This window comes from Homo sapiens, chromosome X (genome assembly GCF_000001405.40).
Source record: "Homo sapiens chromosome X, GRCh38.p14 Primary Assembly".
Lineage (NCBI taxonomy): Eukaryota > Metazoa > Chordata > Mammalia > Primates > Hominidae > Homo > Homo sapiens.
The window spans coordinates 41110026-41124610 of NC_000023.11; the positions used below are offsets into that span (position 1 = coordinate 41110026).

Consider the following 14585-nt stretch of genomic DNA (forward strand, 5'->3'; position numbering starts at 1 on the left):
CATTTAACACACTCTGTCAGAGGGAGAGATCCCCAGACTTCTCAGCCACTCCTGCCTGTTTGAGAAGGATTCTCAAACACCCCCTCCCCCAGAGAAGGGGCCTCATTTTGTTGCCCAGGCTGGCCTCAAACTCCTGGGCTCAAGTGATCTTCCTGTCTCAGCCTCCGGAGTAGCTGGGGCTATAGGTGTGCACCACCACAGCCAGCTAATTTTTATAACATGATTTTTTATTCCATATATCTGAGGAATACAGCTAATTGTGTCTTAGTTCCTTGATATGTACTATAACAGTGACAACGATACTTAACATGCAGAAATTGTGAATTAAGTGAAAAATCCAATTTTGTAAAACATGTTTCTGCATCAAAAACTAAACAGTTTGTCTTGGGAGTGGGGTTATGGTGAGATTAATGGTAGTTTCCCCCTCCCTTTTCTGACATTATTGATGTATGGTGTGATAGTTAAAACTGTAGGACACTGGCACTTGTACTGTCTGAGTTTGAATCCTGGCTCCTACCACTTTGACAGCCTGTAGTCCTCTGTCCCAGTTTTTTTACTCATGAAATTGGGCTGATAATAGGGTTGTTCTAAGGATTAACTTGCTTAGAATAGTGCCTGAGACAAATACTTAAATGTTAGCTATTGTCACTATTAATGAGGAAAATGTTATTTAAAATTTGAGGTGTGTCAACCTGGCTGCACTAGTATTGAAGTTGGGAAATGAGAGACAAAGTTGGAAAAATAAGTTAAAGGCTGATTATGAATGACCTTGAATATGTACCAGATGGAGAAGAGAAGCCATTCAAGGTTTTAGAGATTGAAAGTGTTGAGATTAATTTAGCATTAATATACTGAACGATTGGTATGGTAGTGTGGACGCTAGCCAGGATGCTGTTAAAATAGGAGTCTAGGCTAGAGTGGTTTGAGTGGGAGTGGAAAAGATAACATTGGACACATCATGAAAGAAGAATGGAGGAGATGGGAAGGGAGAGATTTGACTTTGTTTTTACTGTATTTCCCCACACTCCCAATTTTAGTTTTGAGCACTGCTATAGACTGAACGTTTGTCTCCACCCCTCCACCTCGCAAATTCATATGTTGAAACCTAACCCTCATGTGATGAGGTGGGGCCTTTGGGAGGTGATTGGGTCACGAGAGTGGAACCTTCACAAATGGGATTAGTGCCCTTGTATTAATAAAAGAGACTCCAGGGAGTTCCCTCACTCTTTCTGCCTTGTGAAGATACAGTAAGAAGATTGCTATCTGTAAACCAGAACGCAGGCCTTCACCAGACGCTAAATATGCTTGGCACCTTGATCTTAGACTCCCCAGCCTCCAGAACTGTTAAGTGTTACTTGAGCCACTCACTCTGAGCTTTTGTTACAGAAGGGGCTAAGACAAACAAACACCTGTTGTTTGCCAATGAATCCTTGGGATTCAGTGATGAGCAAAGCTTGCATAGCTTCTGCCCTTAAGGAGCTTTTATGTTTTAGTAAGAAGATAAACTCACACAGGTGCTATGAGAAAATAGGGTAGCTGGCTCCTAGAGTCTAGGATGTGAGTACTTGATGAATCCTGAGTCAGGAGAGTTGGGAGCTGCTGAATTAATATGGGTAAAACTAAGCAGACTGCTTTGTTCAGAGGCTCTCAGAGGTGGCATGAAGGAGCACTTTGTGAAGGAACAACAAGAAGGCAAATTGAACTGGAGTTTGAACAAGCTTTGGCTGGGGTTAGCTGCAAGATGAGGCTGGAATTGGGTGTTTGAGGGCCTTGTAGACCATTAGATAAGTATTTTGATCTTCATCCTGGTCTTTGAAGATTTTTTTTTTTTTTTTTTGAGACGGAGTTTCACTCTTGTTGCCCAGGCTGGAGTGCGGTGGCACAATCTTGGCTCACTGCAACCTCCACGTCCCGGGTTCAAGCAGTTCTCCTGCCTCAGCCTCCCTAGTAGCTGGGACTACAGGCATGCACCACCATGCCCGGCTAATTTTGTATTTTTAGTAGAGATGGGGTTTCTCCACGTTGGTCAGGCTGGTCTCGAACTCCCGACCTCAGGTGATCTGCCTGCCTTGGCCTCCCAAAGTGCTGGGATTACAGGCGTCAGCCACTGCGCCCAGCCAGTCTTTGAAGATTTTTAAGCAGTGCTGTGACATATTTTGCATTTCAGTAAAACTCATAGTGATGATTTTTAATACCGAAAGAACAAAACAATTGTAGGAATGGATGCAGGCCTGACAGTCACTGCTTTCAAAAGAAAGCTCAATCCCTTTTCCCTGTTGTTTCCTTTTCTCCCCGTTTGAATTTATAGAGAACAACAGATTCTGTAGAGAACCTTCATGGTATAGTTGGAAGAGCCAAGGGTTTTAGAGTCTTAACGGAAATTATTGTGATCTTGTATAAGCTCAGTGTACTTAATCTCTTAGCTTCTATTTATGTCTGTTAAATTGGACTGATGGCTGTATGAGATAGGTATTATGATTAAATGAGATTATACAAATAAAGCACCTACTGTTGTGCTTGATACACAAGTAAGTACTTAAAACTTTTCAAGAATAATATACAAACTAAGAACTGGAAAGGAGCCACAGAGAACTTTTGAATGGAATGGAACCAACAAGTCCACAAAAGAAAAAAAATCTTTAGCATAAATACTGAGACCTGTTTCGCCTTGCCCACAGGGTGGTTATGGACCATAGTGTCTAAATATAATTGATTGTGAGGTGTATGCTACAAGTAATTATAAGCAATTAAATAATTAGTTAAAATAGTAATGTTTGCAAATGAGATTACCTAAAAATATTAGAGTCAAGATTATCCCCTTAATAATTATTTTCACTCACATTTCATGTGTTTTCGATTGAGGCACCAAAAGAATCCTTGAAGTCCAGCATATAAGCTATTAATGTTTGCTGTTTTTATTTTGTGCTCTGCTTTATACAGTTTTTGTTTTTTGGCAATTTCTCTGTGTCCATAGAAGTGTGTCAAACCTGTGATAACCTTATTTTAGTGTCCTTTCTCATGCTGTGGTAGAAAAACTGCTGTGTAGGTTACTTTTTCTTCTAGACAACAATGCACTAAAATTTTGTCTTTAAAAACATAATTGAATCTGTCATAGCAACAGCATGTTCAATTTAAAAATTCAAAAAGATCTAAACTTGGCTTAAAAATACGTTTTTTTGTTGTTGTTTTTATTTGAGATGGAGTCTCGCTCTGTCGCCCGGGCTGGAGTGTAGTGGTGCGATCTTGCTCTCTGCAAGCTCTGCCTCCTGGGTTCACACCATTCTCCTGCCTCAGCCTCCCGAGTAGCTGGGACTTCAGGCACCTGCCACCATGCCCGACTAATTTTTTGTATTTTTAGTAGAGACAGGGTTTCACCGTGTTAGCCAGGATGGTCTCCAACTCCCGATTTGTGATCTGCCCGCCTCGGCCTCCCAAAGTGCTGGGGTTACAGGCATGAGCCACCGCGCCTGGCCAAAAATAAGTATTTTTGTACTCTAAAATGGTGGGCATTTTGAAAGAAAGCTTAGCTGAAAAGATGCTGCTTACTGGATTGTAATAAACATGAAACAATTGATTTATACATTCACATTATAATTTTAAATCAGTATATAGTTGACCCTTGAACAACATGGGTTCAAACTGTGTGGTCCACTTTCACTGCAGATTTTTTTCAATAAATATATTGGAAAATATTTTGGAGATTTGTGACAATTTGAAAAAAACAGGATAAACTGCATAGCTTGGAAATACTGAAAAAATTAAGAAAGGTGTGTCATGAACGCGTAAAATACATGTAGATAATAATCTATTTACTACCATAAAATATACATAAATCTATTATAAATTTAACATTTATCAAAACTTAATGCACACAAACGTTTTTATAGACCACATGTGGTGCCACGTGCAGTTGAGAGAAATGTGAACAAATGTAAAGATGGATTAAGTCATAACTGCATAAAATTAACTAGTACATTCTCTACTACTGTAATTTCATAGCCATCTCCTTTTGCTACTGCGATGAGTTTGTTGTAAGTATCCGATGAAAATATGTGACGCTGATCTCTGCATGAGCAGTTCATCTCTCCAGTAAATGGTCTATCATAGTAAAAAATGATCTCTCATGTTCTCATGTATTTTTCATCATGTTTAGTGCAATACCATAAACCTTGAATAACATTACGGGACTCATGAAGTGTCACTAGTGGTGCTGGCGAACAGGCTCCCAAGAAGCAGAGAAAAGTCATGACGTTATAATGTTCTGCAAAGTTTCTTATAAGAAAAAGTTGAATTGCTTGATAGGTACCATAGATTGAGGTCTGAGGTCTGCAGCTGTGGTTGTCCGCCATTTCAGATGATTGATCTTGTAAACAGATGATGTAATTTTACTTTATTGGTAAAAACAGTACAGTACTATAAATACATTTTCTGATTTTCTTCTTTCCTTTTTTTTCCCTTTTCTTTTTTTTTTTTTTGAGACTATCTCACTCTGTCACCCAGGCTAGAGTGCAGTGGTGCGATCTTAGCTCGCTGCAACCTCCACCTCCCGAGTTCAAGCGATTCTCTGCCTCAGCCTCCCTAGTAGCTGGGATTAAAGGTGCACACCATCACACCTGGCTAATTTTTTTTGCATTTTTTATTAGAGACGGGGTTTTACCATGTTGGCCAGGCCGGTCTCAAACTCCTGACTTCAAGTGATCCGCCCGCCTCAGCCTCCCAAAGTGCTGGGATTACAGGTGTGTGAGTCACCACCCCTTCTGAGTTTCTTTTTTTCTCTAGCTTGCTTTATTGTAAGAATACAGTATTATAATACATGTAACAAAATATGTTAGTCGCCTCTTTATGATCAGTAAGGCTTCTTGTCATCAGTATGCTGTTAGTAGTTAAGTTTCTGAGGAATCAAAAGTTATTTATGGGCCGGGCGCAGTGGCTTATGCCTGTAATCCCAACACTTTGAGAGGCCGAGGCGGGTGGATCACGAGGTCAGGAGTTTTAGACCAGCCTGGCCAACATAGTGAAAACCCATCTCTACTAAAAATACAAAAATTAGCCCGGCATTGTGGCACCTGCCTGTAGTCCCAGCTGCTTGGGAGGCTAAGGCAGGAGAATCACTTGAAACCAGGAGGCAGAGGTTGCAGTGAGCCGAGATTGTGCCACTGCACTCTAGCCTGGGCAACAGAGCAAGACTCCGTCTCCAAAAAAAAAAAAAAGAAAAAGAAAAAAAAAAAAAGTAGTGAGGTCTGGCGCCCTCTACTGGTGAAGGCTAAGTATAGCTTGTGTTGTACAGTTAGGTCTCTTGTCTCTAGTGAGTCAAATATTTTAATGGAAAAACAAGGGTTATAGATGTCGGTTAAACATAGAAATTTGAAAGGAAGAGAAGTAATTCCCTTTGATTGTTGGTGCATAAAACCGGAATAGGCAAAATTCACAAGTCAAGATTAATTTCCAAGTCAAGATAATTTCCATGTTTGAGCTTAAGGATGATCTATCAAATTGTTTTCTAAGAAACTCATTTCACTTTGATGTCCAGTAAAGGAAATAATCTGGTAGGGGGTTGGAGTTGCTGTTGCTTGTTTATTGTCTCTATCCCCAGTCTGTAATGTTCCACAAAAGCAGAGATATTTGATGCACTGTGTACTTCCATATATTCTCCTATGATTAGAACAATATGTGACCCATTGCAGATGCTCAGTACACAATTTTTGAATGACTAAGCTTTGAGTTTTTATTTAAACACCTTTTTTTTGGATGAAAAGAAAAATTGAGAGAAGAAAATCTTAAGTATCCTAGGATCATATGTAGAATCAGAGGATTTCAACGTGCTGTATAAAAGGAGAGAGATTCTGGAACATAGGGCAAATTTTAGCAGAGTTGGGATAATGACTGGGTAAGAAAGGATAATTCTTTGTTCTAAAAGGGATTTCTCTGGTATTAAGGCCCTGTGTGAAAGCTGCTGGAGAAATTCAGTTCTGCAAAGTTTAAAGTAAATGGTTTGCTGTTTATGGAGTACTAGATTACTTAATGCAGTCCAGCCTTTATCTAGGTAAAGGTGATGCTTTTCCCATTGTGGAAGATGTTAGGATGCTAAGTTTGAATATGAAAATGTGTTGTGTGTTGTAGAGGCAATCAAATCACCATTTTGGTTGTATTTCCCATTGAGAAAATTAAAGATGCTTCTGTTTGTGTAATAATTTTGTTTTTATGAAATAAAGCGTAAAACTTCATGTGGTAAAATTTCACACTGTGATTCATTGTATTTGAGCATGCCTATGGAAAGTGATTGTTACTGTGTCAAATATTGAATGATTTGAATAATTACTAAGTTGTTCAGTTGTGTGTAGGATACTGCTGCTTTGACTTGGTAGAGAGCTTGTTCTAGCCCTGCTAGGTATGCCTAAATCTCTGTGACATAAAAAACAGGCTCTTTTAGAGTTGTGAGACTGCTACTTGAAATCAGGCAAAGCTGTGTGATTCCCAGCTGTTTCCACCACTTGAGTATTGAATAGGATTTATTAAGAAAAGTAGTGGTGTTATTCTTGGATAACTTAGTTGTATCTGTGATAAGTTTTTTTCTCCCACTCAAACCTTTCCAAATTATATCTGAAGGCAATATTTTCAGATTCATTCCTGAAATATTTAGGAACTCTGCACAGTACATTGTAGAAAGGGAAAAGAAAATTTACATTTTTTTGAGAATTACTGTGCTTGCTATTTGTGAGACTCCTTTTATTAAAGCAATTCTCATGGCTTTCTTTTTTTTGTGTGGGTAATAGCATCTCAATTTTAAATACCTGGAAAAAGAATGAGAGAGGTTGTTACTTTCTTTTTAAGATAGGCAGATTGTAAGTGACAGAAGTTGGATTTTGAATGAGTTATGTTTGAATCCAGAAATTATTTTTAATTGCTCCATGCCTATTTCCTGCTCTTTATCTTGCATCTTAGTGTGCTGAGGGAAAGGGATCAAATTCTTATGTGGTAGTAGAGAGATGCAGCAGAGTATGCTATGCTGAGACCTGACATACCTGCTCAGCAATACCGGAAATATAGAAATGAGGACAGCTTGTCGGGTAGAAGAAACAGAAACCAAGAGCTAGAAAGGCGAGACTATATAAGAGATAGGGATAGCAAGCAGCTTGAGGCTTTTGCTGATTGAGTGTCCTGTCATAAGCAGAAGATGATTTAGTTCTGTGGTCTTAGAGAAAGGTGTTTTGAGAGAGGAGTTTCACACTGCCGCTTTTCCCATTTATCTTAGTTATTTTGTTTAAAGGGATAGTCCCTTAGTTATCCACATGATACTTTTGTCTAGAATAATTTATACCATGACTTTTGCCAGATATTTCTGATTTGTGTATAGATGGTTACTGAATTCATATAGATGGAAGGATATTGTGCATAAAAATATGAGAATATAATTTTGAGGTATTTTAGCTCAAATGATCTCCAAATGCTAAAAGAACTGCAAGGTAAGGGAACAGTGAGTACTCTATATATACAATTTTACTGTGGGAAAATATACATAAAATTTACCATTCTAACCTTTTTTTTTTCTTCTTCTTTTTTTTTTTTTTTTGAGACGGAGTTTTGCTCTGTTGCCCAGGCTGGAGTGCAGTGGTGCGACCTCGGCTCACTGCAAGCTCTGCCTCCTGGGTTCACGCCATTCTCCTGCCTCAGCCTCCCGAGTAGCTGGGACTACAGGCGCCCGCTATTGTATGTTTATTAGAGGTGGGGTTTCACCGTGTTAGCCAGGATGGTCTCAATCTCCTGACCTCGTGATCCGCACACCTTGGCCTCCAGAAGTGCTGAGATTACAGGCATGAGCCACCACGCCCGGCCCTTTTTTCTTCTTTTTTGAGACGGAGTCTCACTCTGTCATCCAGGCTGGAGTTCAGTGGCACCACCTCGGCTCACTGCAACCTCTGCCTTCCGGATTCAAGCGATTCTCCTGCCACAGCCTTCCGAGTAGCTGGGATTACAGGTGTGCGCCACCACGCCCAGCTAATTTTTGTATTTTTAGCAGAGACAAGTTTCACCATGTTGGTCAGGCTGGTCTTGAACTCCTGATTTCAGGTGATCCACCTGCCTCAGCCTCCCAAAGTGCTGGGATTACAGGCGTGAAACACCGTGCTCGGCTGATTTTAACCATTTTTAAGTTTGCAGTTCAGTGGCATTAAGTACATTCACATTGTGGGATGCTTACCATCATCCATTTCCAGAACTTCTCTTCTTTCCAAACTGAAGCGCTGTACCCCTTAAGCAATAACTCCCCATCCCCCCAGCCCCTGGCAACCATCATTCTACTTTCTGTTTCTGCAAGCGTGACTAATCTGGGTACCCGTGTACTTGGAATTATGCAGTATTGTTCTTTTGTGAATGACTTATTTCACTTAGCATGATGTCCTCAAGGTTCACCCATATCGTAGCACCTGTCAGAATTTCCTTTCTTTTTAAAAAATACTAAATAATCCACTGAACATAGGTACCACATTTTGTTCGTCCTTGTATTGCTTCCTGGAAAGACTTTTAAAAGAGACACAGTATTGGCTTAGTAGACAAGGTGATCTCCCTGGCCCCCTACTTGCCCCACACTTGGGAATATATAGTCGCTAACCTCATCACTCTCAGGAGGAGATGGTAGGGAGTGGAGGTTGTATTTATTTTCGGGAAAAAAAACAGACTCCCAGGTGGTGCTGATGAATCCATCTCTTCCTACCCTTTTGTGAATAGTTGAATCTGTGTTCAAGATTCCCAAGTTTTGCCTGAATTCTAGACGTGTAGAGCCAACTCTCTAGTGGTTTTCACCTCAGTTTCAATGTTAAGAACTGTACGAACTGCCACTCTACCCCTTTCCTTGGAAGAGAAGTGGACGGGAAACCTGGAGTCCAGGATTATATAAGCCAAGGAAGCTCAGAGTTTCAAGAAGGGAGAGGTGGTCAGTGTCTAATGATGAGAAGAGGGCAAACAGGATGAATATTGAGAAGCAGTTATTTGATTTGTCAGTAAGTAGAACATTGATCTGTGGACCTTCTTCTCATGCGTCCCCTAATGCACATACTCAAAAGCTTTGTATGTAATTTTTAGGGGAATTAATCTTGAAGCCCATCCCTACGTCTCGATTAAGACCTTCTGGCTTAAAGCAGTTTTAGTTTTAGTAGCTTTGGATGGAGCCAGGTGATGAGAGAGAATGGACAAAGTGGAAGGTGAGATGGGCGGGGCATGGTGGCTCACATCTGTAATCCTAGCACTTTGGGAGGCCAGGGAGGAGAATTGCTTGAGCCCAGGATCTCGTGACCAGCCTGGGTCTCAAAACAACAACAACAAAAAACCCAAAATTTACAACTTACCTACTTTGTCTTCATCACATTTATTTAAAAAGAAAGAGAAGGGGGAAATGGAGACAGTCTTACGACTTGTGGGAAAAGGGAAGGGCAGACACTGGTGATTTTCAGTAGGGAAGATTCAAGCACAGGCTGGGAAAAGATTGATTGGGGATGATGATGATTGGAGCATCATCCCTTGGAGAGGGTATACAATGGGATCATGACCCCAAGCTGAGGGACAAGAAAAAGAAGAAACTGGAGCAGATTTGAAGTAGACAAGAATAAAGTTGAATTGGTTAGCTAATATTTTGAGTGCCAAGAAAATAATTATTCACATATTAGCCAGGTGTGGCAGCACGAGCCTGTAGTCCCAGCTACTCGGGAGGCTGAGGCAGGAGAATTGCTTGAACCCGGGAGGCGGAGGTTGCGGTGAGCCAAGATTGCGCCACTGCACTCCAGCCTGGGTGACAGAGCGAGACTCCGTCTCAAAAAAGAAAATAATCATTCACATAATTTGTCAGCAGACCCAAAGTGGCTAAGGAAAATGATATGCAAGTTTCTCAAGGTTTTGAAAATTGTCTGCTTCACGTAACACTCTTTGTAATTTAGGGTGTATAAAATGGATAACAAAAGCGAAAGAGGGACTGCTTAAATCAGACTTTTTCATTTTTTTTTTCCACTTTATGTATTTAAAGAGCTTCTATGTCTTTAGACTCACCAGTACTTGATAGTATCAGTCTTAAAACTTTGTTTTGCTTCGCCAGTTTGATCAGTGGAACAAATTTTGGTTTTGTAATTTGCATTTTCGCAATTACTAATGAGGTTGAGAGGCAGGCTAGTGTAGCATTTAAGAGCTATGGACTCCCTGGGTTGGAATCCCATTTTGCCACTTAGTACTTACTGATACGGTAATTTACTTTTGCTCTCTGTGCCTCCCTTTCCTTACCTGTAAAGAGGGATGATACTAGTTCCTACTGTATACATTTGTAAGGATTACGGTGCTACAAACAGTGCCTAACATGCGAAAAGCTCTATTTTAAAATTATGTCTTATTTCATGTATTTATTAGTCACTTCTATTTCTTTTTGAGAAGTCTATCTTCATATCTGTTTTTCTACTTCTCCCTGAAGCTTCTGAATTTTGCCTAGAGGAGGACATATCTTTTTTGTGTGTGTGACAGAGTCTCGCTCTGTTGCCCAGGCTGCAGTACAGTGGTGCCATCTCGGCTCACTGCAAGCTCTGCCTCCCAGGTTCACGCCATTCTCCTGCCTCAGCCTCTCCAGGTAGCTGGGACTACAGGTGCCCGCCACCACGCCCGGCTAATTTTTTGTATTTTTAGTAGAGACGGGGTTTCGCCATGTTAGCCAGGATGGTCTTGATCTCCTGACCTCATGATCCGCCCGCCTCAGCCTCCCAAAGTGCTGGGATTACAAGCGTGAGCTACCGCGCCCAGCCAACATATCTTAACAAATCAGTTTTTGTGTGTGCTTTAGTCAAGTTTTTTTTTTTTTTTTGAGACAGGGTCTCGCTGTGTTGCCCAGGCTGGAGTGCAGTGGCCCCATTTCATCTCACTGCTACCTCCGCTTCCTGGGTTCAAGTGATTCTCCTGACTCAGCCTCCTCAGTAGCTGGGACTACAGGGGTGAGCCACCATGCCTGGCTAATTTTTTTTTTTTTTGTATTTTTAGTAGAGATGGGGTGTCACCACGTTGGCCAGGCTGGTTTTGAACTCCTGACCTCAAGTGATTCGCTTGCCTTTGGCCTCCCAAAGTGCTAGAATTACAGGCGTGAGCCACTGCGCCTGATTTTAAACATATTCCTCTAGCACTTTCTATAGTTGTTTACATTTTCCTCATTAATCTGCCTGTAATTTGTGTGTATGTCAGGTGGTGGCAGGGGTTAAAATGTACGTCAACTTTTTTTTGACAATGATAGAGAACTTGAAGAGGAAGAAGTCTTAGAGTCAGATGTGAATTAGAGTCCGCTCTGCATAACTTAGGCAAGCCCCTGCTGTCTCTTATTTTTGACTCTGTAAAATGGAGATAATACTCAATTTCTGTGCTGCATAGACTGGGTATGAGAATCAAGTGAGTTGTGGCAGAGCACTTCGAAACTTCCTGCAGTGGCTTGGTAACCTAAGTGGTGAAAAATACTTGGGTATTAATATTACAGAAGCAAGCCCCCAGGTAAGTTTTATATACCATGGTATACATTTGGTTTTGAATGTCTTAAGCCAGGTCATAATTAGAAAACTTAGAAATGAAACTTTGCAATGCTTGTGGGAAGTCTCTCTCAATCTCTTGAGAGCCAGTGAGTTAGAACCAATCAGTTAAGTTTCTCTATCTGGTGGCACCTTAGAGTCATTCACTGGGGGAGATTTTTTGCAAAGTTCTGATGCCTAGGCCTTACTCCCAGATACTGTAATTTATTTCATCTGGAGAGGAACCTGGGCATCAGTGTTTTAAACAAAATCACTTCAGGTGATTTTATTGTGTAGCTGAAGAGGGCTACTGATCTAATGAATATAGAATTGAGGATTTGGTAGCATTCTCCTGTACTTGTTTGCTGGTCAGTTTGTAAAGAAGAGTTCCCTGTTCTTAAACAGTTGTGGCCTTGTAACCCTGTTATGGCTCTAGGAGTGGCTGGAGCCAAAACCTTGCCAAAGTAGAGAGCTGAGATCATCTGACAAATTCAGTTGTATTGGAGTATTATGTAGTTTGAACCCTCTTAAAATTTTACCAGAGGTTTTTGGGGGGTTTTCAGGGTTTTTTGTTTGTAGGGGGTGGAGAGAGCGGGGATCTTAACAGAAATTTGTTCTCTCACAATTCTGAAGGCCAGAAGTCCAATATCAATGTGTTGGTAGGTTTGGTTTCTTCTCTGGCTTGCAGGTGGCCACCTTTTTGCTGCATCTTTACGTGGTCTTTACTCTGTATGCGTGCACCCCTGATGTTTCTCTCCAAAGCGTCAAAGTTTATGTTAAAAGTACTTAGAAGCTAGTTTAAAAAACCATTTATAATGCCCTAGTATCAGTGATAAACGTTAGTTGTGCGGCCTGCCTTGAAATGTTTTAAAAAATCACTTTGTACTTTGTCTAAGTACACATGTTACTGAAACAGGAGAGTTCCCTGACGCCCTCACAGGATGTGTGACAGGGGTGTGGCTCATTTATTCCTCTTATGGGAAGGGGAGCACACAGGTGAGCAGGTACAGGAGCCAGGGTGAGCGCTTTTGGGCTCCGGCCCCACAGCAGTGTCTAGGAGTGTTACAATGCTCCTTTAGCCCTGCTGTCCCAGCATAAGTGTTAAACAGCTCAGAGAAGAGTCAGTGTGACAGCCTTTTTGGGTTTCTGCATTTAGGGCATCCCGAGTTCTTTTCCTGTGTCTGGGAAGAATCAGGTCACAGGGACTTGAAGGATGGTGAATGTGGGGATGTTATTGAGTGGTGGAGGTGGCTGTCAGTGGGATGGGGAGCTGGAGAGGGGATGGAGTGGGAAGATGATCTTCTCCTGGAGTTCGGCTATCTCACAGCCAATCTCCAACGGCCCCCAGCTTGAACCTCCTCTCCACCTTTAGACACTTCCTCTCTTCTCTCCTTCTCTGCTGTGCTTCTCTGCCACTCTTCTGCTTTTGGAGCCTGGGGCTTGGGGTTTATATGGGCACGGGATAGGGGTGCGTGGCAGGCCAAAAGGGAACACTTGGGCGTGAAAACAGGAATGCCTGTTCTCATTTAGGGCTGCAGGTCCAGGCTTGAGCCCTCACCAGGGACCCCACCCTCATACCTCTTGTCCTTATTCTTACAGTGTAATGAATGCATCAGCAAATTGAAAACAGATAGTTTTTGCCGTTTCTTAATTTAATTAAAATGACAGTTAAGTACTTTGATATATTGCCTTTGGAGTCATTTCCAGGAGGCTATATTTGTTTGTTTTCTTGGTATAATGGCCAGTGTACCAATGATCAGTTTTAAGTTAAATGTAGTATTAATGAAACTTCAGCTTTTTACTTTCTCTTCTTGTTTGTATAGCCCCTTTTTCCTGATTAGATTCACTGGTGATACTAAATTCGAACAGTTCCATAATTCATGTTTTTTATATCTAAAACCAATTACTTTTTCCCCTTTCTATTTGTAGGTTATGCAATGGTCTCTGCAAGATGGTTTATTCTTGAATTGGACCTTTTTAAGACTGACAAATGCTGGTACTTCATCTTCTATAAGTGGACTATAATTTCTTTTCTCAAGACAACTACATAAGCAGACAAAATTGCAAAGATCTGCCCTGTGTCGAGTATGACAGCCACGACTCGTGGCTCTCCGGTCGGAGGGAATGACAACCAGGGCCAGGCTCCTGATGGACAGTCTCAGCCCCCCCTCCAACAGAATCAGGTAGGATGTTGAAGATACTAGTTAAAGCTACAGTGGGGCTGGACTCAGTGGTTCACATCTGTAATCGCAGCACTTTGGGAGGTTGAGGCAGGCAGATCACTTGAGGTCAAGAGTTTGAGACCAGCCTGGTCAACAGGGTGGAACCCTGTCTCTACTAAAAATACAAAAATTAGCCGGGCGTGGTAGCATGCACCTGTAATCCCAGCTACTTGGGAGGCTGAGACAAGAGAATTGCTTGAACCTGGGAGGCCGAGGTTGCAGTGAGCTGAGATGGCGCCACCGTACTCCAGCCTGGGTGACAGAGCGAGTCTCTGTCTCAAAAACAAAAACAAAAAACCTACATTGGTGGGTCTACTGTTGGGGTACTAAATGATGGAACATGTTCTAAATAATTTGTGAAGCAACTGTTATTTTAAGTTTTGATTAACAAAAGTGAACACGTTGGGCGCAGTGGCTCACATCTGTAATCCCAGCACTTTGGGAGGCTGAGGCAGGCGGATCACAAGGTAAGGAGTTCGAGACCAGCCTGGCCAATATGGTGAAACCCCATCTCTACTAAAAAATAGAAAAAGTAGCTGGGTGTGGTGGCACGTGCCTATAGTCCCAGCTGCTCGGGAGGCTGAGGCAGAAGAATCCCTTGAACCGGGAGGCAGAGGTTGCAGTGAGCCGAGATGGTGCCACTGCACTCCAGCCTGGGTGACAGAGCAAGACTCCATCTCCGAAAAAAAAGAAAAGTGAACATAGGTCTTGCATAGTAACAAGAAAGCTCAAGTGGTGTAGATGGTAATACTTGAGTATGTAGTCCGTCTTTTTCTGATGGCTTATACTGTCAGTCATTAAAATTAACTAAGCCATGTGTCAATTCTAAGGGGGAAAGCATTAAATC

General features: G+C 41.6%; 1 protein-coding gene across 8 annotated transcripts in view, besides 2 other annotated features; it reads left to right on the forward strand.

Moving 5' to 3' along the window:
* The window catches only part of USP9X (ubiquitin specific peptidase 9 X-linked), a 151135-nt gene that overhangs the window by 24581 nt on the left and 111969 nt on the right, over positions 1-14585 (forward strand). For all 8 annotated transcript variants that reach the window (NM_001410748.1, NM_001410749.1, XM_047442548.1 and 5 more), the window contains one exon: positions 13446-13699. In NM_001410748.1, coding sequence (NP_001397677.1) covers positions 13604-13699 — 96 coding nt within the window. In that variant the 5' untranslated portion in view covers positions 13446-13603. The remainder of the gene's footprint in view (positions 1-13445; positions 13700-14585) is intronic.
* Positions 4625-4757: a silencer, noted in NCBI's record as "fragment chrX:40973903-40974035 (GRCh37/hg19 assembly coordinates)". NCBI's record gives its function as "represses an EF-1alpha promoter that drives an FKBP-Casp9 reporter gene in an ReSE screen in phorbol 12-myristate 13-acetate-treated (for megakaryocytic differentiation) K562 erythroleukemia cells {active_cell/tissue: K562(+PMA)}" and the evidence as "EXISTENCE:reporter gene assay evidence [ECO:0000049][PMID:32094911]".
* Positions 7018-7077: an enhancer, noted in NCBI's record as "active region_29553". NCBI's record gives its function as "activates an Ori minimal core promoter by ATAC-STARR-seq in GM12878 lymphoblastoid cells {active_cell/tissue: GM12878}" and the evidence as "EXISTENCE:reporter gene assay evidence [ECO:0000049][PMID:35858748]".